Source organism: Homo sapiens, chromosome 12, assembly GCF_000001405.40.
Source record: "Homo sapiens chromosome 12, GRCh38.p14 Primary Assembly".
Classification (NCBI taxonomy): domain Eukaryota; kingdom Metazoa; phylum Chordata; class Mammalia; order Primates; family Hominidae; genus Homo; species Homo sapiens.
In genome coordinates, this window is record NC_000012.12 from 68,226,351 (window position 1) to 68,254,031 (window position 27,681).

The 27,681-nt window shown below is 41.6% G+C and overlaps 1 protein-coding gene across 1 annotated transcript, besides 1 other annotated feature; it reads right to left on the reverse strand.

The window, feature by feature from the left end:
* Positions 14,855-14,994: an enhancer, noted in NCBI's record as "active region_6633". NCBI's record gives its function as "activates an Ori minimal core promoter by ATAC-STARR-seq in GM12878 lymphoblastoid cells {active_cell/tissue: GM12878}" and the evidence as "EXISTENCE:reporter gene assay evidence [ECO:0000049][PMID:35858748]".
* IL22 (interleukin 22) lies at positions 21,892-27,254 on the reverse strand. Its single transcript, NM_020525.5, has 6 exons — positions 27,233-27,254; positions 26,913-27,144; positions 26,414-26,479; positions 26,154-26,297; positions 25,163-25,228; positions 21,892-22,526 (listed from the first exon to the last, which is right to left on the reverse strand). The coding sequence occupies exons 2-6, from the start codon at positions 27,096-27,098 to the stop codon at positions 22,449-22,451; spliced, it is 540 nt and encodes a 179-aa protein (NP_065386.1). The 5' UTR covers positions 27,099-27,144; positions 27,233-27,254; the 3' UTR covers positions 21,892-22,448.

Below are 27,681 nucleotides of genomic sequence, written 5' to 3' on the forward strand. Positions count from 1 at the left end.
TTCAAGATATGTTTGGAACTGGACCTGGGACTAAGGTCCACAATGTAATAAGTTCTCTGTCATCTCTGTCCAAATTTACCACTCAGACTTTCCTTATAACTCCCAACTTCCAGGAGAGTGCAAATTCCTTGAAGAAAGAGACCGTATATTTTCACCTTTGAATACAGCATCTACCATGGCACCTCATCTAAAGAAGTGCATCCATTATTAATTGAGTAAATACTTTTGTCACATCATGACGTGCTACCATAACTGCTTTATTTTTTAAATTTCTTCCATTCACACATTTTTATTAAAGACTTGCCTACACAAAAACCAGTGCTAGGTATGAGGGAGCCACCAAGGAGGATTCTCCATAAACTCCCATCCTCATTTCTGTCCCAGTTCTTCCTAGACAGTAAATATGGCTCATTCTGGGTAGCAGCCCCAATATAAGAAGAGGGCAGCCCAGAGTCATATTCTGAGAAGCAGAGATAGGTCACTAAAGCCTAGAATGAATAGAGTTAATGTGTATCAGGGATAAGTCAACACTAGAAATCTGGTTGTGAGTTAAGAGAGTCATCAAAACTAGTCAGTCAATAACAAGCATCAGAACCCAAGACTAAATTCCAAATGAAAGCAAGCAGGGCTGTCAAAAAAACAAAAAAAAAACAAAAAAAAAACAAAAAAAAAACAACCAAGAAGAAAAAGGGAAAATAAGAAAAATGCTTGGACTGATGTCTGCTGTTTCAAAACATGAGTGGATCTCTTGGAAGAATCCAAGCCTTATTTCCCCAGGAGCAAGATCACTGGTAACGACACACCCTATCAATTGAGATGAGAACTATTCACAAAAAAACTATAGCAGAAGTCAGCTGACTGGGAGTGCTGAGTGAAGTTCACTGAAATTTTATGAAATTCAGAAAAAGAAAGAAGTCGTTTCAGTTGGGAGTGGCTGAAAGGATGTTTGAACTAGGACATGAAATACACAAAGGGATTTATTTATTTATTTATTTATTTATTTGAGCAGAGGAATGCCTAGTATTATAAGTTCCTTTGGAAAGAAACAGTGTGAACTTGGAGGGATCAAAAGCTCAAATGCCCTTAGAGGGCGAGGATTAATACAAACACACTGGGTGGGTAGATACCAGATAATTGCGGCTAATATGCTTATATGGTCACCAGTCTTAAAGTCTGTCTAATCACATAGCCTGTTAACACACTGTGCTATAAACACAGAGTGCAATAAAAGGATGACACAAAACACCTCCCAGAGCCATATACTGCCGTGAGCAGCCAATTTCAGATCCCTGGTGTGTACCAACAAAACTTGTGGCTAATATTGATAACTCAAGTGGCTAATATTGATAAATTAAGTTGATGTGGGTTCTGGCTATTTTTTAACTTCTGGTAGTTACATTTCCATAAATACCTTACATCCCTCAAATCATCATCACACAAGGAAAATCCATATATAGTCCTAGAATGCCTCTGCTTTGGTTTGCAGCCAACTCAAGAAAACTGTGGCCATTTCTGTATGAATGACCATATCACCCACTGGATCACAGTCATCCTCCATCTTAGTCAGCAAACCTGCCTCATTAGGGTCCTTTGATAAGCAGGAAGATCTGATCTCAAAGAGTAAATAGTGGCCACTAAAAAGGACGTTCAAAACATGGGCCCTGAACACAGTTCCAAAGAGGAGCCCCCAAAGTGTCCTAAATAACAGAAGAGCCATTAGAATAAATGCATAATACTGTAGGAGCACCAACTGAAAAGATAATTCTCTGCTTCACTGAATGTATATTTATTATATCGCTTTCATGAGTATCTTTTTTTTTTTTTTTTTTTGACACGGAGTCTCGCTCTGTCACCAGGCTGGAGTGCAGTGGCACCATCTCAGCTCACTGCAGTATCTGCCTCCCAGGTTCAAGTGATTCTCCTGCCTCAGCCTCCAGAGTAGCTGGGACTACAGGCACGCACCCTGATGCCCAGCTAATTTTTTGCATTTTAATAGAGATGGGGTTTCACCGTGTTGGCCAGGATGGTCTCGATCTCCTGACCTCGTGATCCACCCGCCTTGGCCTCCCAAAGTGCCGGGATTACAGGCATGAGCCACCGCGCCCAACCACTTTCATAAGTAACTTACACAGAAAGTATAAAAGTTGGTATTAATTACAAAGAGATTGGGTTTCAAAACTCTGATTCACTCTGATTCTGTATGGCCTTGGGGAAGTTATTAGTCCTCTCTGGGCTTCCGTTTTTGTCATCATTAAAATGGAACAATAATCACACCTAACTACAGAGGGTTGTCGTGAGCAAAAATACCGTAATCTAAATAGAATGTCTAGCACAATGACAGCTGTAGAGGCACTCTGGAAGTGGTAGCTACTGATTTATTATTTATGAAATAATAAATAAGAAATGCATGTGTAATACTCTGAATAATGTTAAAGTTTATCATGAGCCTTCAGGAGCCTTCAGAAATGGTTGAAGAAAGTGAGAAAAGTGAAGGAAATGCAAAAATCTGACAATATGTCCAAAAAAATACATAGGCATAAGGAATTGAGTTAATCCCACACACATCCAGAGGGTGAACTTGGACCATTAAGAGGATATTTTAGGGAGGCCACTCTTGTGTAATGTACAGGAGAATATTCAAACAATTGATCTGCCAAAAATATAATTGACTGCCCCAATTTCCAAAAGCCAGCATGGCGGTCATTTTCCTTAAAGTTTAAGTCCTCTCCCACCCAAAAGAATGCCAGCTGCCCTCTCTGATGGCCCAGTGTAGCCCATGAGCAAACTCAGCTCACCAACTCCTGTGCAGAATCTTAGCTCACTTCGAGTCTTCAGTGACACCGCTTTTTATCTGCTTTCCTCCTATGGGGAAAAAACAACAACTAATTGTTGTTACTAACCTATTTGGTTGACACTGAAACACACCTTTTTTTTTTTTTTTTTTACATTTTAATGTCTCTTAAATGACAGTGTGCATTGTAATCCACAGTTATCCCCACCTGCGCAGTCCTGAACTTGGTCACAACCACTAATGATGACATCACTTCACTTGAACTGTGTGCATGGTTGTTACTACAGGTGTTTAATTGCTACTTAAAAGGTCTTCAGAAAGATTATGATTCCGCATTAAAACAAATGTTAATATGTTCATAGAAAGACACAGAACAGCAGTGGGGCACAAATTTGATATTAGAAAAGTAAATATTTGTTTTTGGAGAAATGACCAAAATTACATATTTATTTGAAAAGCAAAAATCAAGTGCTAAATCTTAAGAAAGAAATGCATCATAGTTTAATTAGTAGCACTTTTTCCTTTATTAGTGGTAAACAAAGTAGTGGTGCAATTTCCAGTGTACAACATCTTACATTGGTTGAAATATGTTATTTAATGATCTCAGTGATTGGCATAATTTCTTAGGATCCTAAATCCTAAAATCAATGCAGCTGTGCATAAGAAGTACATGGATCTATGTTTATATAATCATACTATAAAAACTGAAATTCAATATATTTTTTCCAGAATAGAGCCAGAGGATGTAGATAAGAAACAGTGATAGATAGATAAATATGTTTGATGCAAAGATACTGTGGTTTTGCCTCTCCAGAAAAGATAGGCCCCACTACATTGGACAATGGTAAGCCTGGTAACCAACAGAATGGTAAACCTGTTTACCATCGTGATGAGAACAGGTTAGAGAAGGAATGAGGAGTGTTGTAAATGGACTGGAGAGGAAGGAAAGGAGACGTGGAAGCTGGATAAGCAGAAGGGTATGATGGGGAGGAGCACATGAACATTCCCTGAGAGCCTCCACCTGTGTGTCCTGGCCCTTGGCTAGCTGACTTGTACTCTGCAGGTTTGCACATGTCATCATTAACACAGCCATTCATCAAATACTTATTGAGTATTCATTACCTTCCAGGCTGCACTAGGGCCACAGATGCATTAATAAACAAAACACACAAAATTCTTAATTTCATAAAATGTTCTAGTGGGGTGGGGGAACAGACAGACAATAAATAAACATAATAGATGTAAGTTATATCCCTTAAGTACGATATAGACTGTTGGAAAATACTACATGTTTTGAGAAAGATAGACTAGAGTAAGAGAGGTGGAGGTGCTGAGATAGGAGATGATTGTAAATAGATGGTCATACAAGGCCTCAATGCAAAGGGAACATTTAAGTAACATCACGAATGGAGTAAGGGAGTGAGCAATGGAGTTACCTGTTTCAGCCAAAAGCAACTGTCACTGCAATAGGCTAAGAGAAACAGCATGCTTAGCAGGTTCACTGTAGCTAGAAAGGTTGTGTGGATTGTTCTAGAGCAACGGAGGAGGACGGGGAGGATGTCAGGCCAGGGAAGAAACGGATGAAGATCATGCAGAGCCTTTTAGGCTGTTGATAGGACTTTAGCTTCTACTCATGTTATATGGGAATTTTGAGTAGAGGAGTTCTATCATTTGACTTATATTCTTTAAAAAAGAAAATAAGACTCAAACGTCCATTAATGAATGGATGGATAAACCAGTTGTGGTATATATAATATATATATGAAGATTATTCAAACATTTTTTAAATGAAGTACTGATACAGGCTATAACATGGATAATCCTGAAAACACTATACTAAGTGAAGAACACTAGCCTCAACAGGTCACATATTGTGTGATTCCACTTATATGAAATATCCAGAATAAATGAGTACACAGAGACAGGTAACAGAAAGTTGGTTGCCCAGGGCTGGGAGGAGTGCAGAATGGGGAGTAACTGCTTAATGGTATGGGGTTTTCTTTGAGGGTAATGAAAATATTTTGGAACTAGATAAAGGTGATGGTTGCACAACATTATGAACGTACTAAATACCAATGAATTGTTCGCTTTTAAATGGTTAATTTTATGTTAGGTGAATTTCATCTCAACTGTTAAAAAAAGGAGGAGGAGAGGAGGAAGGGAAGGAGGGAGGGAAGAAGGAAGGAAAGAGAGAGCAAGAAAGCAAGAAAGCAAGAAAGCAAAAAAACAAAAGAAAAGAAGAGCCTCACCACAGATGCAGCAGTAGAGAGAGAAGCTACACCTGAGTCATATCTCTACCAAGTCTTATCTGGTACTTCCCTTCTTCTATAATCCAGAAGAATACTTTTTCAACTATACTGTTAATGTAAGCTTTTTAGTAGCTCTAGAAAAACATGCTTAAGAAGCAGAGACTCATACCTCATCCAGCTTTTAAAACATATTTAGATCCATTTAAATGCTTTTTTAAGAGGTGAAATCATGAACTAGTCACTTGTTTGTTGAACCAGAAATTAGTGGAATTAAGAGACACCTTGAATGTCATGAGTGATGACTTAATATTCCACAGGCAGTTGGGGGGAGACAATTTTTGTTTCCTAAAATACAGGCACAACCAAAGATTTCCTATTACGTTTGAGAATGTTGTTAGTTCTTAAAGCAGCTGGCATTGCTCCATTTTAGAGGAAGAATCTGAGCTGCAGGGAAGTCTCATCACACGCCCAGTGGCACACAGCTCAAAAGTGGCAGAGGATTCCAATCCATGTTCATGAAACTCCAAAGCCCACGTGTTTCCCACTGTCTGTGCAGCCTCCCACCACATTAGAGCAGTTCCCAAGGAATGTCTGAAGCTGTGGTAGGCACTACAGAAAATAAGAGATGGGACAGTAACCTAAGAAAAAAGGAAGAAATGAAAATAGGAAATACCTAAGGAATAGTAAAACTTAAATGTTTATGGTATTTTAAAGCTCTTGCATATATATTATAACAATATCTAATTGTAAATAGTACTTCCCAAAGCCACCTCTTTACTTGATCTTCCCAATCCTGCTATAAGAAGTAGAGGGGATCTTGTTTTCTCCAGTTTACAGGTGGGAAAGCCGATACTGACAGAGGTTGTGTGACCTGCCTGAAGGCACAAAGCCAGGAGGTAACAAACCTGGGCCTTGACCCATGTCTTTGAACAACAAACCCAACGGTATTCCCACAGTACCATCTTGCCTCTGGATTAATAAGTAAACATTACATATGTATCATTCCAAAATATCCTTATAGGCAGTGTGAGAATAAACCTACCTTTGAGGAAAATTTTGTATGCTCAAATAGCTATTATTGCAATATATCAATACTCTTCATAGCTTTATAGGTTTGGGGTTATTTTAGCATTTTCAGATTTGACAAACTGGCATTATACATATTGGCTACTCGTTCTCTGACAATGAATAGTACACCATCTACATGATCTGCAAAGAATATGGTACCCTAACTATATTTCAAAAATAAGTCAGCAGATTGCCCATCATCGCTCACACCAAAGGTGATGGAAAATAGCTTCCCTGCTGTTTTCATCTTCACTCTTAGCCCAGCAAAAGAAAAAGGAGAAAAGAACGCACAGTGCACAAAGCCTCCCAAGTTTTATCAAAGCACAGGTGACATCAAAATAACCTTTCCATTTCATTTTCTAAGTACATCAACAAGAAGGTTCACAGTAATAACATCAAGAATTGAGGTGATGTTTAGAAGTCACAATTGTGAGAGCTCTAGAAATAGATGTATCTTTTCTGTCAAAACACATTAATTGTTGCTTCAGCTCTTTGACCCGTGTCCCTGAGGCAGTCAACGTGAGCATGTGATAGACTCTGCTTGGGCTGAGCAATGAATTTGAGCCTGAACTTTCAGGGCACCAGGAATGCGATTTCTCCCTTAAGGATCCCCCTCCAACCCAGAGTAAAAGCCAATATCCTTTCTGCGGCCTAAGGACCTATCCTATCTTGCCTATGCTCCTTACCCCTAACCCTCCCTGCCCCCCAACCTCTATTCCTATTCCTCCTCCTGGCTCACCTAGTCCAGCACAATAGGCTCCTCACTCTTGTGAGGCCCATGGAGCAGGCCTGTGTCTCAGAGCGTTTGCACTTGCTGTTCCCTCTGTCTGAAATGCTTTTCTGTATAGTTAGCAAGCCCTTTCAACTCTTTCAAGTCCTTGCTGAAATATCACCTTCCCAGCAGTGCTTTTCCTGGATGCCTATTATAGGCCAAAGGAGGCATGGGGCGCATGTGTCGTCCTCCATGCCCTCAAATTCTTATGTTAAGGTCCTAACCCTCGGCTTCTCAGAATGTGACTGTGACTAGATTTGAAGATAGGATCTTTAAAGAGGTGATAAAGTTAAAAATGAGGTCACTAGGTTGTGCCCTAATGCAGTATGACGGGAGTCCTTATTAGAAGAGGAGATGAGGGCACAGGTAGAGAGGGAAGACCAACTGAAGACACAAGGAGGGGCCATCTACAAGCCAAGGAGAGAGGACTCAGCAGGAACCAACCCTGCCGACATTGTGATGTCAGACTTGTAGCCTCCAGAACTGTGAGAGGATAGCTTTCTGTTATTTAAGCCACCCAGTGTGTGGGGCTTTGTGGTGGCAGCCCTAGCAAACGAATACAATGCCCTAATTAGGATTCACCCGACTCCCACTCCCTCTATCTCTTTTTTTTGTTTTATTTTCTCCAAAGCCGTTATCATTATCTAACATATGATATATTTCATTTGTGCATTTTGTTTGCTATTTATCTCCCTTTGCTAAAATCTAAGCTCTATCGGAGCAAGGATTTTTGTCTGCTTGTTCGTTGCTGTTACCTCAGTTCCAAACAGTGACTGGTCCATGGTATGTGCCCAATAAATACCATCGGGTTACCGGAGACACCTCCCTACCATCACCACAGAATGCCCTGTGGGACAAAATAGACTATAGGGCTATTTGGGCCATGAGGAGGAGGAAGAAGAAATGTGGGGACATTTGGCATAAAATGATGAGCTCTGCTTTCGGAGGGCTTCTCTGGAAGCTTCTTCTTGATCCTCTTCTGAGATTGGGCAGCCACAAATAGTTCTTTATCTCCTAATTTTGCCTTAGACATCTACAGAACCCACAGTGGGCATCCCCTCCCCTGCCTTCATCATTGTTTCCTGTCTCTCCTCTGCATTTCAAACCAAAGCAGAGGGTAGGAGGGCAGATGAGCTGAGTGTCTGGGTTAGATAGGAGCCTCTAGTGCAGCCCTGTGTTGGCTGATGCCGATGACTTTTCTTCTCTCTCTCTCTCTGCATCTTTTCTCTCATAACTTCCTACACACCATCTGTTCCCTTTACTGCAGTTAAATATGTCTGTGTTTCTTTGTATTACAGGCCTAGGTGCTCTCTGATGGTGGGAATCCACTAATAAGAGGTGTCCAGTTCTTCTAGCAAACTTGTCAGTGCTCATGTCTTCCATGGGTTGTGCCCTGAATCAATGCATTTATTAATTCTTTCAAAATGCAAAATAAAAATTATGTGTTGAGCCTCTACTAGGTGCCAAGAGATATCTTGTCTATGCCCCTTACCCCCATCCCTTGCCCCCCCTACAAACTCTTACCGTTATGGAGCTTAGATTCACATAGGAAATTGGCTCAGCCCAGGTTCCCCAGAAGATAGAGCATGAGGATAAGTTTCTGTGCTGAAGCTCTATTAGGGAAGAGTGAGAGTGATGGAAAAAAGAAATTAGGTCAACCAGGATGGGGAGCAAGTTCATGGCAATGCATAAGTGATCTAGCCAGTGCTTTATGAAGAGAGACAGCCAGCCTCTTGGCCATGTAGGATGTCTCCACAAAGGCTATGCAGAAGCATGCCTTGGGTCAGACCAGGGGAAGGAGAGAGGGGAATGAAAGTTAGATGCCAGCTTCCTCGCCTGCTCTAGGAGGAGTTAACTTCTTCAACCTCTGGATGGTACCTGCTCTCTTTAGCAGCCAAGGGGAAGGTAAATTCCACAACCTATTCCATGGCACTTTATCTGAGTCCAGAGTGGAAGAAAGAGCCAGAGATGATCACTGCAGTGGCAGCAGTGGAGCAAGACAGACCAAGAGAATCTGAGATGGTTCCCATGATGATACAGAGATTTATTGTCTATTGTAATAAAAAAAAACTTATTGTTATCAAAAATGGCTAACAGCAAGGTAGGTTCATCAATATAACAAACATATCACTCTGGTGGGAGATGCTGATCATGGGGTAGTCTATGCATCCATGGGACAGAGGGTGTTTATGGGAAATCTCTGTACCTTCTGTTCAGTTTTGCTGTAAACCTAACACGCCCTATTTATAAAATGGCTAACAAGATAAAATGCTACGATAGTCACGATTTTATTTTATTGTTCTGCAATAACAACTGTGGTTGATATGGAAATTTAATGCAATTTTTGTTAACTCTGGGTCACACCCAGTGCTGAATTTATCTGCCATCTGCCACTCATAACAGATCTTAATAGTTGCCCTCATAACAGATCTTAATAGTTGCCCACAAAACCAATGTCTTTTAATCTTAATCATGGAATTTTGTTTGGGTGTCAGTGTGTGTAGTGCCAGGAGATGAACTGTGGATGATCTAAGCCCAAAGTCAGCAAATCATGACGCAAATCTGGCCTGTAGCTGGTTTTTGTAAGGCTTATGAGCTAAGAAGGGTATTTACACTTTTAAGGGGCTGAGAAGAAGGAGAAGGAGGAAGGAAGATAAGGCGGGAGGAGAAGGAGTAGGGGAAAAGAAGAGGAGGAGAAGGAGGAAGAAGAGAAAGACAAGGAGGGGAAGAAGAAGAAATATACAACAAAGACCATATGTGGCCCACAAAGCCTAAAATATTTACTATTTTTCCTTTAACAAACAAAAATCTTGTCCATTCCTAATCTAAGCCAATGATCAGAATGAACATATGAGACATATTTGACCAAACAGATTATGAGGGGATTTCTGCCTATAGGGCAGGTCCATTTGGAGGGAGGGCAAATCAGCATCTCCCTGGGCTCCCCGCCTGGGGAGAGGGAGAGGAGCTTGGTCGCGGTGCACCTTATTTTTCATTTCTGAGTATCATTAAAATTCAATTTAAACAATTATTCTTCCAGCCAAGATGGAAGTGATTTAATTTCTCCATGAGGATAGGTGTACTTCTCATTTTAAGGACAAGGAATTTTCCATGCAAAGGTTCTGGGGCAGTGAAGAGCAGATCACATGCACTCTGTAGACAAGCCCCATTGGAACAACCTTCTGAAGATGAAAGCCTGGAGAGTTTGGCAAAACCATGGGAAGAAAGCTCAAGATGATTCAACCATGGCTTTAAACCGCAGGGTTCCTAGCAGCCTTCACATGTCAGCAATTATCAATAAAAGCAATCCAACTAGGCTGTAGTTGGGTCTCCTACAGTTTGAGTGTTCCCTTTGAGGGAACACCTCTTGTCTGGCTGTGTCAGAAACAACTTAATTGCTGTGTATTTAGTTTTTTGAATGGATTTTACTCCACACCATCAGTGGCACCAGCTTTCGTATCATTCCTGTGAGCACCTGGTGGTGGGAAGTTTTCATGAGTATCAGCTGCCTAAACTCACCAAAGAGAAAGTGAAAGTACACAGCGTTGATGGAATTGTCATATCAGCCTGTAGCAGGTTAGGGGCTGAGGCCCGGTATGAGCCCAAATCCTGTTAGTCCACCAAGCTCCCTTTGCATAAGTCCCATCAAGAACTGCGTTTCCAGGGACTAGAAATAGAAAACTGAAGAGAATTAATGTTACCAGCTACTGGCCGTTTCCCACTGCATTGCCCACACAAGCTGTGCTCTAGCCACACGGACTTGTGGCCCTCGCCTGAGCACTCTATCCACTTTCACATCCCCAACTCTTTGCTCATCTGGGTCCTTGGGTCCAGAAAGCCATTCAATCCTTTGTGTATCCATCTCAAGCATTTACTGAGCACCTATAAAGTGCCAGGCATTTTCAGGGTATAGGGGCTTAAATGTAGGCAACAGTTTCTGTCCTTAAAAATTCTCAAGATAGACACATAACAAGGGATTAAACTACAGTGTGATAAATGCTAAGAGAGATGTAAATTATACCTTGAGAGCCCTGAAGATGGAGCAATTAACTACGGCTGGATTGCAAAGGGGAAGAAAAAAGGGAAATTTCACAGTGTTGTCATTTGAACCCATTTAAATCCTTCTTGTCCTCCAAAAGATCAGCTTAAATGCAACCTTCGGTGCCTTCCCAATGATGATTGTCATCTTGTTGGTGCCTCACTGGTAGCACATGTCAGTCCACTTGTGCCCTAGGCTGTTGCATGCCTGTCTTCCTCGCAAGACAACTGCAGACTCCTTCAGGGCAGCATCCAAATAAAATCTGACCTTGTGTTTTCAAAGCCCATCCCACAGGATCTTGTATATCCTATGATCTAAAAAATCGTTTAGGAACTAAATTGAATTGAAATTTCTAAGGCTTTCACTGAGACAAGCAGCAATGTAAGAGTTCTAAAATTCCTGGGCAGTTACTGTGCTTAAAAATAGCATCTGTGGCGATGGCAAGATGAAAATGTCACAGATGAAAGAACAGCTCACAAAAGCACCTCACAGCCTGTGAATTTCAAAAAGAAACAGTGCCTACTGGTAAGGACTCAGCTGGTCAATTTCTAGGTGCTATAGAGATTAAACTGCACACACATGGCTAACATAAGATTCAAGATGCAGAGAATGAACCCAGATGGTTAAGCCCCATAGAAACAATGAAGGGACTGTGACTAATAGAAACACGTTGGGTCACCCTGAATATTTTTAGTAGCTGTAACAAGAAAAGAGGAGGAAGATGGGCCACACACAACAGAATCAGCCAAAATGCAAGGTTAAGAGGAGTCAGAATTATTCCAGTGAAAGAATCTCTCATCCTGTAGCTTGCATAGTAGCCCAAATTAAACAAAGATTCCTATGAATGCCCTTGGATGCTGCAGAGAGGGAAGAGCAAACACAGAAAGGAGCAAGGGCACTCCTGGGACTGAGGGGCAGAAGGGAATTTTAGGCTCCTGTAGGCGATAGTGCACATTGGCCTCAGCACCTCTACTTCTTTGTGGAGAAAACTGTTGGAGAAACAGGAAAACAAAATATTAAACAGTATTTAAATTTTAGAAATCAAAATACTGTTGTTTCCAAGTTTGTTTTGTTACAGGATCAAAAATTTACACACGACTCAGACACACCCAAAATTGGTTTTATTTATTGTCCATAAATGATTTCACCTAAATTCCCAGACTCCATCCTGCTGCTGGGTGGGAGTTGGGGAGGGGCGGGAAATGGAAGGGGGAAGAAGAGTAAATAGGGCAGAGTCCCAGTAGAAAATGTATGCTACGTTCAAACTGGGGAATGGATAAGAGTTTAATAATAGATTGATTTTCTTAAGGCATTGTGTTAGTGTGTGCTGCTATAACAAAATACCACAGACCAGATAATTTATAAAGAACAGACATTTATTTCTCACAGTTCTGGAGGCTGGGAAGTCCAAGATCAGGGTGCCAGCAGGTTTGGTGTTTGGTGAGGGCTGGCTCTCTCTCTGCTTCCAAGATGGCGCCTTGTTGTTCATTCTCCAGAGAAGACGAATGCTGTGTCCTCACAGGGTGAAGGTGGAATGGAAAAAAAAGGGCCTAACGCTGTGTGGAGTTTCTTTTAAAAGGGTCTGAATCCCATTCAGGAGGGAGAACCCCTCATGACTTAATCACCTCCTAAAGGTCCCACATCTTAATACTATTGCATTGGAGATAAAGTTTCAACATGAATCTTGGAGGGAACACAAACATTCAAACCATAACAGGTGTGGAAAGAGCTCAAGGAAACCAACAAGAAATAGTGCAATTCCCTGAGACTAACAACAGCTAGCTGGCTGTTGAAGTAAGGGTTGAGAGTGGTTTTCAGAACTAACAAAGATATCTATATGGAGAAGGGCTGTCTGCAAGAGCTGAGGCTTTTGGTAGAAGTACATAGCCAACCAGCATGGCAGCCTGGCAGGAGAGCTCCAAGGGATTAGATACTCTGACCTTATCCTCCCCACCCCCCAGCCCACCCTTCGATCTCCCGGTACTTCTTCCATTAGCCAAATACAATCAAAAGCCAGGGAGCTTGCATGTATATGAACCAATCCATATACGTCAGCCTCTTTGGGCACCAAGTAGAGTGGAAAAGTACAGAATATGGATCTGGAGGGCCAGATGGACACCTTGCATCCCTTGTGTCTTCAGCATCCACTCTTATCTTTATCCAGGTGAAAAATGTGTATTGGCAGCCTAGGAAACATATAGAATCTCATCAGCTACCATATCATTATAGGATGATGTCATTGTGGTCATATTCCCACCTGAAAACAAAAATATTAGCCACCACAAGTACTCTTCAAATAAAAGGGAGGAAAGGAGGGGAGAAGACAAACAATGAACAGAAATCCTATCTGCTACAGCTCCTGCTTTTATAGCAATTCGAAAGACCCAAGTTAACAAGTGTGGATTCTTTCTTCCACCACCGCTTTATTTTTCCCTTACCCTCTGCCTGTACCACAGTAGAATGGAGTCCTTTGCCTGGTAAAGTGACTTAAACCCTCATTCCCATAGAAACGGAATGCTTAATGATTCTGTCTCTTCTGAGTTGATGCAATTTTCCAATGAAAATACTCCTGAACAAGGGGCTGTTACAAGAAAAATCCAGTGAATCTCCTCGGTTCAGGCAGAAGATAAATTCACTGAGGCTGTGTTTGCCTCCGAGACAAGAGGACTTCAGCCTTCAACCCTTGGTATTACTTCATTCTCCTCATCTAAGTGTCTTCACTCAAATCTTAAAAACTTCCTTTCAGAAAAAATCACCTGTCTTCCTTCAATTCCTATACGGAGCACTTTCTGCTAGTGAATAATATAGTATAAATGAAGAACCAGAAGAAACACTAAAGAATTTCTTTTCCTGTTTGTGAATGTGATTCATACATAACTCCTATTTCCCAGGCAACCCATGCTGAGTGTCACAGTAAGAGTCACAAGCCAGATTTCTCTGGCTCTGCTCCCTTCCACTCCAATGCAATCATTGCTTCTTTCCTAGACTCTCGTCCTGGCCTTGCTTCTATCCTTACTCCTCCTAGATTTACTCTGCATTATCAACCAGAGTGATCTTTACAAAACATGAGTCATACCAAGCCTTCCTCATGCTTGAAACCCTCTGGTGGCTTTTCCTCAGCCTTAGAACAAAATCCAAAGTCCTGCTCTAGCTTGCAAAGACACACATACCTGGTCCTAGTCAAATGTTGGGCTCATCTTAAGCTTTGCCCTTTACCCAGGCTACTCCAGTCCCAACCTTCTTGCTACTTCTTGAATACGCCAAACTTGCCTCATCTCAAGGTGATATCCCCAGATATTCACATGGCCCATGTCCCCACCTCATTCAGATATCTGCCCTCCAAGAGGCCTTCCCTGATCTCCTTACCTAAATTAACCCCCATTAAGTTCTACCCCCACGCCCTACTTTGTTTTTCTTCATAGCAGATATCCATGCTTGTTATTATACTATATGTCCTCTGTTATATTTACATTAGAATGCAAGTTCTATGAGGACACGGGCTCTGTACGTATGATGTTTACCTTCACACCCCATGGCATCAGGTTAACACCCAATAAGTACATACTGAAAATTAAATAAGTGGCCAAAGTAAATAAATAACTAATTTCATATGTGCTAAGTACAACAAAGAAAAATGAAGTGGGGTGATGGGAGGGGAGGGGAGGGTGTGGAGGGTGGTGAAGAGGTTGTGTTTGATAGGGTGGCCAGCATAGATCTTTCTGAGGCAGTAACATTTGAGCAGGACCTGAATGAAGGGAGGGAATTATCATGAAATATTAGTGGGAAGATTGTTCTGGGCTTAGGAAAACAGCCAGTGCAAAGACTCCTTGTCAGGAGCTAGACTGGTGCATGTGAGGACCAGCCGGTAGGCCTTGTGACTGCAGCAGAGAGCTCAAGGGAAGGGTGATAGCAGATGAGACTGCAGAGGTGGGGTGATGATATAAACTTTCAGTTTCATTCTCACTGTGAAGGGAAGCCCTTAGGGGAAGCCAGGATGTGCCCAATCTACTGTTTTTAATTTGTAAGTTTACTTTGGCTCCTGAGTTAAAAACAGACAGTAGGAGGAACTTTAGAAACTTCAATACTATGGTAATTTAGAGGACAGATGATAGTGGCATGGATGGGCTTTAGCCAGAATGAGAAGTGAACAGATTCAGCCGTTACTTTGGAGTTAGAGCAAACAGGACTTCTGACACATTCAATGTGCAGGGTTAGGGAAGGAAAAACCAAGGTTGACTCTAGCTACTTCTGAAATATATCAGAATATAAAGTCTCTCAGTTTCTTACCTTCCAATTTTAGGGGTAAATATTCTTCCACTTATAGCTCAGTTTCCAGAAGACTGGCCAAAAAAAATATGATATCAACTTTTGCTCTAGTCATTACATGGAGACTCATTTGGAAAAGGAAAGACTCCTTAACCTCAGCTAATCACAGAAAAAAAAATATTATAATTCTATCATCCCTGAAAGGGAACATCAGTGCCTCTCAGCATTTGGAACCTGCCATGGGTGAGCAGCAACTATCTGAGGCCCATGGTACAGGTGGTAAAAGAACTTACCAAGACAGTTGTAGGTAAAGAAAGGCAGATTTATTAGAGAAAGTATGATAATATGTTGCAAGAGTGCAATGGGCAAGTTAGTAAAAGACGGGCTAACTGCCGGGAAACAAAGGCTTGCTGGGGATTTTGTAGACTGGAACGTGGGCCGAAGAGTGCTGCCTGCAGTACTGATAACGCCAAGGCTGCAGGGAGCTAACTCGCCGGTGTCTGGTGGTAAGCTGGGCACAGGAGGGCTATATGTCCTGGACCATGAAGAAAAGCAGACTTTATAGCTTATCTACTTGCTTTTTTTGCTTTCCCTCAGTCCCACCAGCCTAACTCCTTTTCCTTAATTAGGACTTCACATTCCCCCCCTAACAGAGCAAGAATGACAAATCTTTGGCATGTGAGTGAAGGTCTCATCTTCCAACTGCTTCCTGCTGACCAGAAGTGAAGAGTTGGCCCTACCTAGGATTGCTGCTCAGTTAGGAGGTTCCATGGGTCTAAATCCCTAAGTTAGGACTTAAATTGAGCCGGGTTGCTGTGAGACTATGGGGGAACCGCATTTGCAGCCTAAAATTTTGTTCTGCTGCATCCAAAGGAGAGTCATGGAGTTCTTTTAGAAGCTGATATCCCTCGCTGCAGTAACATTTTGGTTTGAGATTATTGTATTCTAGAAGACGCAACATGAGATATTGCAGTAAAAATATGTGGTGCAAGTAAACAAACTAATATGAACATTATTATAGGGGGGAGAAGTTGGGCAACCCATGGCCAAACCCAGCTGGAGAAATTTTGAATAGTTGTGCCAAAAAAAAAATCTTGACGAACTCTTTTTTGAAGGCCCTCTGATACCTTGATATTCTCTTTTACCTTTTTTAAACTTTCTTCTATTTGACCTGAAGTATTGATGTAAAAGCAGCAGGTTTCACTTAACAGCACACAAGTGCCTCCTGCCTTGGTGGTAAGCACATCTAAAGCATGTTGATTCTGCAGGACAACCCCTGACAATGAAATTAGGGCCTGTTTCTGGGCCTCAATGGCTGTGACTTTAGGTTTCCAAGATTGCTGGACTAAGATGGTGAGTGTATTAGTCTGTTTTCCTGCTTCTGATAAAGAGATACCTCAGACTGGGCAATTAACAAAAGAAAGAGGTTTATTGGACTCACAGTTCCATGTGGCTGTGGAGGCCTTATAACCATGGCAGAAAGTGAAAGGCACACCTCACATGGCAGCAGACAAGAGAAGAGAGCTTTTGCAGGGAAACTCCCCTTTTTAAAACCATCAGATCTTGTGAGACTTATTCTACTATCAAGAGAACAGCACCCATGATTCAATTACCTCCCACTGGGTCCCTCCCACAACATGTGGGAATTCAAGATGAGATTTTGGTGGGGACATAGCCAAACCATATCAGTGAGATTACAAATGCTGTGCTTGAGCATGGGTATACCTGCAAACCAAGAGTCCACTGACTATAGAATATTCTAGACCATTTCTCTCCATAATGGGATTATCAGTGGCAAGGATGCCAAATGGTGGGAGGTTAAGTTCCACTTTTGTTTTCTTTCTTCTGATGATCTTTAGAGGGCTCCACTTAGGAAGAACACCAAATTTGGAACTTGGCCAGAGGTTATGAAGTTCGAGGAGTTATATATATGCGCTCCAGGTATGGCTGCAGCTGTAGTACAGGTGCCCATCCACTTAATAGGCAAGGCTAGAAACATGATGGATACCCATAAAAAGAAGAACCCAATTCCTTTTAATGAAACTCCCAAGGAGGGACTTTGTAACCAGGCATAGGCGTGATCAGTTTGGATTCCAGTATAATTTGCATAAATAAGGGGATTTCATGGTCCCCGGGGATTAAATGTGAACGGGCAATGACCGAAAAAGTAGTTATCCACACATAAGGGAGTCAAAGTTTCACTTGTTGTGTTGTGTAAATATGGGGCCTGACAGATAAGAGTTCTAAATATTAATTGGTTAAAGGAAAATCGAGGAAAAGCTGTATTAGTGAGGTTAAGAAGTTGTCCAGTTTCAACCCCTATTCCTATATATTCCATCCCAGTTGCTAAACTATTTACAGGCATAAAGGAATCATTTTAAATTTTGCTGGCATTAACTTTGTTGTTTTCCCACCATAGAGAAAACCTGTGGAGGTCCTCGGTGAACTCATCAGTCATCATACAGCTCCCATTCCTGGTGTGTCTCTTTATAGTTGAAGGTGTAATTACAATGGGCTTGTGTTAAAGCCCCTAGGAAAGGGCCAGGCCCTTCTGAGTTTCTGAAGTCTCACTTTACAGGCCATTTCTGGTGCCTTCCCTATTCACTGGGTTACAGTGGATGATTGCCATGAGAGATCAATTGGCCTAGGTGCCCCCCCTATACCTGTGTTTTTGGTGTACGTGTACATAGTGTAGTCAAATCCAGAGTATCAAGTATTGGGCTTGCATGGTAGCCATTTCTTCTCTAGAGAGTGGGATGGCTAGGAATGTAATGTTATTCTCGACTGCCTGCCTATGTGGGCATATCCAGCAGTTAGTACGATGTGGTATGTTAGTAACCTGAGATATTACTGGGTAGAGCAGGTGCCTGGTTGCAGCCATTGAGGCAATAGTTAGCCATGATAGACACCAACAAAACAGAGCCATATTTAAGGAAAATGACAATATATAGTAAACTTAGAAAAGAAGAAGGGCTGCAAAGAGTATGAGAAAAACAGTTAAACAAATACCTAGTATCTTAGCACATCAATGTTGTGGTTTAGGGGTAAATAACATTACTAGGACAAGTATAAAGAAATTTCGGCCCTGACACCTGTAAACCCAGCACTTTGGGAGGCTGAGGCGGGCTGATCACTTGAGGCCAGGAGTTCAAGACCAGCCTGGCCAACATGGTGAAATCTTGTTTCTATTAAAAATATAAAAATTAGCCGGGCATGGTGGCAGGCGACTGTAGTCCCAGCTACTCAGGAGGCTGAGGTGGGAGAATCACTTGAACCCGGGAGGTGGAGGTTGCAGTGAGCCAAGATTGTGCCACTGTACTCCAGGCTGGGTGACAGAGCAAGACTCCGTCTCAAAAAAGAAAAAGAAAAAAGAAAGAAAGAAATTTCATCTGGGTAGTAGTTTTGGAAGTCTCCCTGCAAATAGCAATTTTGTACTATTTCCCTTATAAAAGCATTAATATTAAGAGCATGAAGCTGCTCAAGGGAGGCAGATGGATAATTACTGAGAGCTTGCAGTAAAATTGAATAAAAAGAGCCGCTTTAAGAGTAGTATTTAAAAGAGGTGTTGGATTTATTTTCATTAACTTTTAAGGAGGTTAAAAATTCTAGGCTGCTTGATTTAACAAAACCTCTTTTACCTTTTTTCTTTAAATGAGTTTTCAATGTTTATATTCTAGTTAGACCATAAATAATGAGTCTTATCTCAGCACTGGCAGCTTAGTAACAGCAGATTTAAAGCAGGCAGAAAAAAGAGGGGGAAGACAGAGAGCTTTAGGAGACTCTACTTAACTCTGTAGTGCAGATTGACCATTTGAGCTCTGAAGTTTTCTCGTTGTAATTTGCCCATTAGTTTAAAATGTGCACAGAAACAGGCCATAATATGTAACCAGCTGGAGATTTAAAGAGAATGACAAAATCAGGGGTTAGGACATTAGAAACTGTCTTTCCCTTTTAAGGCTGGACCCCTGGAATGAACAGAAAAAGAGAAAAAGAAAAGCAAAGAATGGAGAGGAAAAGGTTAAGTTTTATGGGAGGGCTTGTGAGCCTTCCAGCCACTGCACAGCCTGTGGAGCAGGGCCAGCACCTCTACCACTTTCATTTATCTCCCATCAGGGAAAGCCTTAGCACCCCAGACTTCACAGTGTGAGACGAATTTCTCCCACTTCCACCCGTCACCAGCTAAGGTGACCTGTTCCAGCCAGAGCCGAGAGCCCCTTCAGCTTAAGGCCATTAGGAGTTGGGATTTTGTTCCAGGGGCCCTTCGGCTCTCAGGGCAATCCCGTTTCCAGTGGTGGAGCTTGCAGCAGAGGGGGCAAGCCATATGGGGCTTTTTTCCTTTTATTTCATTGGATCAGTTTGCCTTTCTTCTTGCCTGCTCTTCTGCTCCAGTGGTGGTTATCTGGAGGAGAGTGCTTAGGGCAACTTGGAGGGGGTTGGGGACTTGTAAAGCAGCCAACAGTTAAGCCTGCCTCTTGTCTCTGTCTTTTTCTTTCTTCTTAGCTTTGTTTTCTTTATTCTGCTTTTGGTTATAAAGACTAAGGAGGCTAATTTGAGGATTGCCTGCATAGGAGCCATGCTGTATTACACAAGAAAATTAGAAGCTTCTTTTTGAGAGTCTGAGGGTTAAGTTTGTTCCAATGCTTTAGAATGCAGCCTAGAGGTGAGTCTGAAAGAATAGATGGGGTTGTCCCATGGCGGGACTGGAAAACACACCACTCAGAGCCTCATGAACTGCATTTTTAGAGTTCCCAGTACTCACCACTACATCACGGAACCTCACACTGAACTGCATTTTCTCTTGGGGCATCCCACCGAGATGAAAAGCGGTCCACTTGCATCCACCAAGGGGACTTGGGTGCACTTTCTAATGGGGCATCCTACCTATTAGTAAAGACCTCTCAGCCACTTGGGGACCTTAACTTGGATGATTAGTCCAGGTACTCACTTAACGCTAGATGATCAGCCTAGATACGAGGAAAAAGGTAAAGGAAGAACTCCACCTGGCGCCAGCCCAGGGAAGGGGCAGGGAAGGGAAGACTCACTGTTCTGAGGCTGTCTGAGTTCACCTTATTCAGCAACATCAGAACAGAATGGCTGGCTGAGTCCATGGGGGAATTCAGAATGAGAAAGAGAGGGTCTGAGGCACCCAAAACATGTGTGAATTCGCTCTGAATGAGCCTCCGCTACCAGTCATGCCACACTTAGGGATTAGGGACTTCTGACCAGAGAAGAGAGGAAAAAGCCTTCCTGCCTAATGGGAGAGGCAGATAACTCTGTTCACCCTCTGACCTTTAGGCAGCACCGGAGAACAGCCCTGGCCAGTTACCATCAATTGCCAGAGAGATACTAGAAGCTGGCTGCTGAAAGACTGAAAAGAGAAAATAAACTTAGGTGCCTCACCTGAATGGGCATGGAAGTCAGATGCTTCCACGGGGACACCTTTCAGCCCACCAGAGTGTAGCTCTGGCCAGAGACCTACAATTGTCTCCGTGCTTAGATGCTATCCACTGAGGGTTCCAAGTTGGGAAAGAGAGAGAGGCAAGAGAGTTCCCTATGAGGAGAGACAGCCCCCATGCAGAGAGAGTTCCCCATAAGGAGAGAGAGCTCCCCATATGGGCCACCAAAATGTTGTGGGTGAGTGACAACTATCTGAGGCTGGTGGCACAGGTGGTAAAAGAATTTACCAAGACAGTTGTGGGTAAAGAAAGGCAGATTTACTAGAGAAAGTATGAAAATATGTTGCAAGAGTGCAACGGGCAAGGTAGCAAAAGAGGGGCTGACTGCCAGGAAAAGACAAAGGCTTGCTGGGAATTTTTTCTATGTGCTCCCCTCTCACCACCAGGCTGGACCTAATCCTGCAGGAACTTGGCCAACAACTGACAAGTGACCTGCAAAGTTGGTCCTGATTTTTTGGAGAAGAAAATACCTTAGCAGTTCATGACTGACTTCTGATCATTGACTTTGACCTCATATGAAAAGACCTACACAATCTTTCAAATCCCTTCCCCCAGGAATGGCTCTTCATTGCTGGCATCCTTTGTCCATTCTTCTTGGTAGAACAAATCCAACCTTTATCTCTACCTCTTTCTCTCTCTTCTCTGTAGCATTGTACACATTTTGAAGATGAACCCCTTTTCCTTTCTATGTGTGTTTCATAATATCTTGCCCATCTTCCACCTATGAGACTTCCCTATCAGTGCCAAACTTACTAGTAGGTATGACTCCCCAAAACACAGCTTTCCTTTTCCTTTAGTGTCTTACTTTCAGGGATACTGGAGAGTGCACCTTTCAGTAGGCCTGAACTAGAACTAAAACAGTTTATCTATAGCAATAGAGGCTACATGTACTTCTCTCCAGCAACATCATTCCTTTCTTTTATCCATAAATGACTAATGATAAGTTATTTTCAATTTCTCAACTTTTTTCTTTTCAAAGGTACATGCTGAGTCAACATAATAAATCAGTATAGGCACTATAGCAGAGAGCCTTGAAATCAGATAGACCTGGCTCAATAAGGGTCAACTATTTATAGTTATAAAATGTTTCTTAACATGTTTCTAATGCAGCTTTCTCATTTGTAAAATTAGAATAATACTAATAGCTACCTCATTTTCTTAGAGTCAAGAATAAAGTTATGGGAATGGTAACATGACAATGATGATGATGATGATGACATTAAAGGAGAAAAATCACAAAACGACAAGACTTAGGATATCCAAGTGTTTATTGAGGTCAAATAAACATGTTATAGCTCTATAATTATTGTCATAAATATCAATATTAGCCTTACACTCAAGTAGCAATATCGAATGATGTTTCTATAAATAAATCCATATTAATAAAATGATATAAATAAAATGCAGTCTTATAATAATAATAAATACATTTATAAATATAAAGTACTGATTATGGAAACATGAAGCTATTTAGGGGTTTTTTCCCCTAAAGGAATGGAAAGTAATCTTTTTTATGGAAAAAGACAATTATTTAAAAAATAAATTGTTTTCTGTGTATAGAACACCAGTTACAATGAAATGTTATCAATAAATATCTATGCTTAGAAAGTCTACCTTCTGGTCTTATAAACAAAAGTGGCATTGGTTTCCTTTGTAACTAACGCAGGGGTTCATTTGGAATCCACCCATCATGATGGAGTTTGGCTTCCCATCTTCCTTTTGGTTAAAAAAAATCGCTTTGGGGCATCTAATTGTTATTTCTAGCAGGGAAAGGGGGTTAGTTATTCATTTTTCAGCTTTGCTCTGGTCAAATGCAGGCATTTCTCAGAGACATAAACAGCAAATCCAGTTCTCCAATTGCTTTGATCTCTCCACTCTCTCCAAGCTGTGAAAATAAGAATGCAAAAGTATTTGAGCATTTATGCCATGTTTTCTAAAGTGAACAAATTAGAAATTGCAAGATTAGGTTGATGGAGACAGAAACCGAGTTTTAAGCATTTGTAAAACATTCATAGTAATATCCCTTTAGTATTGTATGATTTGCCAAAGAGCTTAAAATGACGGCTCTCTGGACTGAGAGGCCACCAGCAGGCATCAATTTCAGGTGCACCTCACACTAATGAAGCTGTTTAAAAGCTGGGCAGAGAGTTGACCACCCCTTCTTAACCAGAGCAAGGAGACTGAAGTGAGGCTGGGATCTGGGGGATCCCGAGTGCCACCCATTATGCCTTGGCCTGTTTTGCAGCTCCAAAACTATCTATGACAGATTACTTATAAGGAGCTTGTCCAACCTGCAGCCCACAGGCCGCACATGGCCCAGGACAGCTTTGAATGCACCCTAACAGAAATTCATAAACTTTCTTAAAACAGTATGAGATTTATGCATGGACTTTTTTAGCTCATCAGCTATTGTTCTTGTATTTTATGTGTGTACCAAGACAATTCTTTCAAGGTGGTCCAGGGAAGCCAAATGATTGGACACTCCTGATTTAAAACATCTCTACTCAAATGACTTTGAACCATGTATTCACCAATACATTAAGGCTTTTTCTATTTCCACCTTTTTGACAAACAGTAAAAGAAAAGTTTTCACTTTTGTGGGAAAAATACCAAATAAGTCTTTTCCACTTGCTTTAGTTAATAGAAAACCAGATATAGGTCCTAACATTCATTCTTTCTCTCTCCAAGTCAAATGCAGATGAGGATCCCAAACTTAATCGAAGAGGAAACCCAAATTCAAGTGAAAAGCATTCCCTACTGAAATTCCTCTAATCTATCATATTTGCATTATTTCAAGAAAAACCTTGTCACCATTGTCCTCTGTATAATACATGGTTCTTCCTTTTCCTGCTTTCTTCCGCCCTTTCACCTTTCCATACTTCTTTTGACATAAGGCCAAAAAGATATTCTTTTCTATCTCAAAGACTCCAAGACTATAAAGAATTTTAAAGTTTATCGTCCCCTACTGTCTGTCATGCATTTTACTACCAACCTGCGTTCTGCTTTTACCCCCAACGAGAGGGAATTAATGCCTCCCAAAACCACCCTATTTCAGACAGCTCTGACAGTTTCTCCTCCTGTTGATCTTTCTCTGAACAACATTGCTCTCCCTCCTGTGCTTTCTGAAGCTACCAGCAAAAAAGCATAATCACTCTTCCACATGGCAACCCATTGCAAATATGAAATTGATTCTTTCAAAATGGATTAAAGGTCTTGAAAATCACACAGATCACCATGAGATTCTCCTCTCTCACACTTCACTTTTCTAAAGACAACAAGCAAGATGAAATCAGTAATTTTTTAAGCAAGATGTGTAAAGCATGCCTTGTCTGTGGCATGCTAACATTCAGCCCTCCATGTCTAGATAATAGTTCTATAACAAGAGAACTGGGCTTCACAATTTAAAACTACAAAGCCTTCAATTATCAAAGGAAGAAACAGTCACACTCATTAAATGATGCTCAGGAAGAAACGCTTTTTTAAAAAGTCAAGAGGGAAAAAGGGGGAATTAAGGTTAAGCTTGTTACTGAAAATTCCATCAACTGGAGCCTTCATGTTTCTGAGTATTTAGTTGTACCTGCTTGCAAGAGCGTCACTTTCACTGCTCCTAATCATTCCTCCGGTTTTGGGGTGAGTCACTATTGTTAGTCTAAGCCTTCCATTGTTGTTCTTTTCACCAAATAGGCCACATGATGGTATCATTCACTATAGAAATGTACACCAGCCCACCATGGATAAATGCTCCCTAGGGATTTGTTGAGGGAGTGAAGGAAGAAACTAGAATGGAAGGTCTTGATGGGAGAGAGGAAGAAAAAAAAGCTTACCAATTCAGACTTCCATTTAACTTTAATAAATCTCTTACTAATATTTTTACTCTATTTGAACCTGTATAAAAGAGATCGGGGTTGTCTGCTCTTGCTTTTAAACTATAATCAATATCTGATAGATATTATGATAATTCAAAATAAGTGTTTATTACTCCAGAAATTAGCCCTATATGCAAGTCCAGCTCTTTTCTCATTGTTCTGAGTTTATTCTTCCAAGTTTCAAAGCAATGCATTAATGACTTCAAAAATGACTTCAAATAAATTTGCCCATAGGCATTTTTCTGTTTTTAAACAAGTACTTCTTCAGATTACATGAGTCAATAGGAATCTGAAATTTCCCTAAGAATTAATGGTACCAAAACTAATCTGTATCACCACCGGGAAAAGTGCTGGCTTGGGATTCAGGAGACCTGCATTCTAGCCCTATCTCTGCCACTGACCATCCCCAGAATCTGAGGTTATGTGACTAGACAAGCTAAGATCCCAACCAGTTCTAGAATTCTACAATTTGCAAGATTTGGAAACTGACATCTAGATATATAGATATATCTACATACACAGACACCAAAGTAATCGCCCTGGTGGTAGGAGAATCAAGTGAAAAATCACAAAGTGATGGGAAGAAAGAAAGGAAAGAAAAACAACATTTGTCTCTCCTATTGCATGACTTAGCATTGACAGTTATCAGTCCTACCTTTTTCACTGTGTCCTTCAGCTTTTGCACATTCCTCTGGATATGCAGGTCATCACCTTCAATATGCTATAAAACAATAACAAGCATAACTATCTTAATGTTGTGCTGAAACTTTATGAACCTCCACACCCATGGAGGTACAGTACAATTCACCTGGAATTAAAGCTCTTAGTAATTTTGCCCACAATGACCTAGATTTCAACAGTGACCTAGATTTCCTGAGCTCTTGAATTCCCTTGGACGCCAGAATCCAGTCACTTCCCTTACAAGAGACCTCTCTTCATCTTTGGGAAATCCTACTGAGGTTTGCATTTGTGGAAAGAGCGGAGTAGTTTATGCAAATTCTGTAAGGAATAAAACCTCAATCGTATCTCCAGAAAATTGCATGCTTAGAACAAGAAATGTACATAAAACATCTCATGTGAAAATTAAGCCCTCTTCAGTAAGTCCTAGGGCCTTTTACTGGGCCCACTCCACTCAAACTTTTTTTCATAGTTTCAAATGTTCAGCGGCATCAAGTTCACACGCCTCCGATTTTGTGGCTTCCCATGACATCAACAGGGCAACAGTCTGCCGACCCACCACCGACTTTAAGCCTTCCCATTTCCCACTTTCTCTTCTAATTTCTCTCCATGCCATCCCCTCCCCTCAACAACTTAGACTCAATGGATCCATTTCCACATCTAGATGTTTTTCCCAACACCTTTCTCATCTTACGCAACCTGAGTTGCCTTTTTTCCGAAGACAAACCAATGCGGCTTCTGTACACTTAAGTTCCAGACCCCATTCACCACTATAAACTCAAGATGTGACTCAGTCAAAGCAAAAGCAAATACTCTATGATCCCAAATGACTCCTGATAACACTGCTGCCAAGACACTTCTTCCTGCTAGCTTAGGGGTAGGGGGAAGGAGAGAGAGTTGGGGTAAGGGGGTCTCTGTGGAAGGAGGGAAGGAGGGGTAGGTGGGCATAGGCTGAGAGCTGAACTTACACATGTGCTTAGCCTGTTGCTGAGCCTGGCCAGGAAGGGCACCACCTCCTGCATATAAGGCTGGAACCTATCAGATTGAGGGAACAGCACTTCTTCAAGGGTGAAGTTCAGCACCTGCTTCATCAGATAGCAGCGCTCACTCATCTGCAGGTGGAAGGGAAACAGAAAGGGTCATAAGGGATAAGACCTAAACCATCATCACCACCACCCCAAGTACCCATGGACGGCACACGGCCCTGTTCGTCACAACTGTAGCTTACACTGACTCCGTGGAACAGTTTCTCCCCAATGAGACGAACGTCTGTGTTGTTATCAGCCAAGCTAGCCTGGAAGAGAAGAAAAGACTAAGGGTCTGGACATTGAGCAAATAGAAAAAAAATTTATACATAGACATGTGCCCCATCCCGTCTCCCCAGAGCAACATCATAAAGACTAAAAGCAGAATTCAGATGTGTGCATGAGTTTAGAACAATGCACAGAGGCATAAAGGAAAAAAAAAATCATCAGATGGATTACTGAATGGCCGCTCTTTGGGAAAAATTCATCATATGTATCATAAAGGCCAAAATGGAAGGAAGAAGTTCAAGAAAAAAAAAAAAGCCAGATTCCCAAAGAGTCTCTGAAAAAACAGAAAATTTATCTACCCTCAGGGATAAACAGTGGGTTCCTAAAGCTCTTAGAGATGCTCTGAAGAAAAGTTTAAGAACTATTTGGATTCCAAGTAGATCCAACGAGAAAGAGCAGGATTGAGATGTATACCTCCTTAGCCAGCATGAAGGTGCGGTTGGTGATATAGGGCTGCTGGAAGTTGGACTTGTCAAGCCTGCAGTGGGAGCTGATGGGCGCAGCTGCTCCTCCCTGTACCAAGAGGGCCAAGAGAAGGAGGCAGCTGGTGGCCAGGGTCCCCATAAGGAAAGAGCTCACAGATTTCTGCAGGGCGGCCATTGCAGACAATTCTAACTCGAGCAACTGGTGACTGGGGAAGGAGAACCTGGTCGAAGACAACGTGAAGGAACAAAATTAGTCAAGAAGTATTTCATCAAACTAACCAATTGTACCAAGTTTGCCGAAACGCTTACCTGTTCTGAAGATTCTGCTTGTGACGGGGAAGGTAGAAGCTGCTGCTTTTATAGCCCCCAGGATACTGACTTTTTTTTAATTGTGAAAAATATGACATCAGCAATTATCTAATTTCCAGTACTGTCTTCTGAGAACGACCTAACCACCACAGGAGCCCACAAAACACCACCTCTATCCTTTCCACCTTGAGATGCAAGTGTTTCCCTAAAACGTCACTATTAGAGCCCGGAGGGTATTTTACAGACAAATCCCAGAAATTTTCTAAACCCTACATATTTTTCAAAGAACACAATTGTTTTGTCTTAGTAGAGTTCAGATTTAGTATAAAATGTTTTGATCTCCTATAGTGGCTGAGTAAGCATTTTGGTCACGGACTCATTTTCCTACCAGCTTTATAGATTCTTATCTCATTGGAGGTGATCAGAAAAAAAGGACCCATGTCCTATAT

Excerpts from the sequence above, each read along its gene's own strand:
- IL22 (NM_020525.5), bottom strand. The coding sequence starts at position 27,098 with ATGGCCGCCCTGCAGAAATCTGTGAGCTCTTTCCTTATGGGGACCCTG. Across the intron at positions 26,480-26,912 it reads CCTTCATGCTGGCTAAGGAG|GCTAGCTTGGCTGATAACAA; the intron begins GTATACATCTCA and ends CTTCTCTTCCAG. Across the intron at positions 22,527-25,162 it reads TGAAGGACACAGTGAAAAAG|CTTGGAGAGAGTGGAGAGAT; the intron begins GTAGGACTGATA and ends TTATTTTCACAG.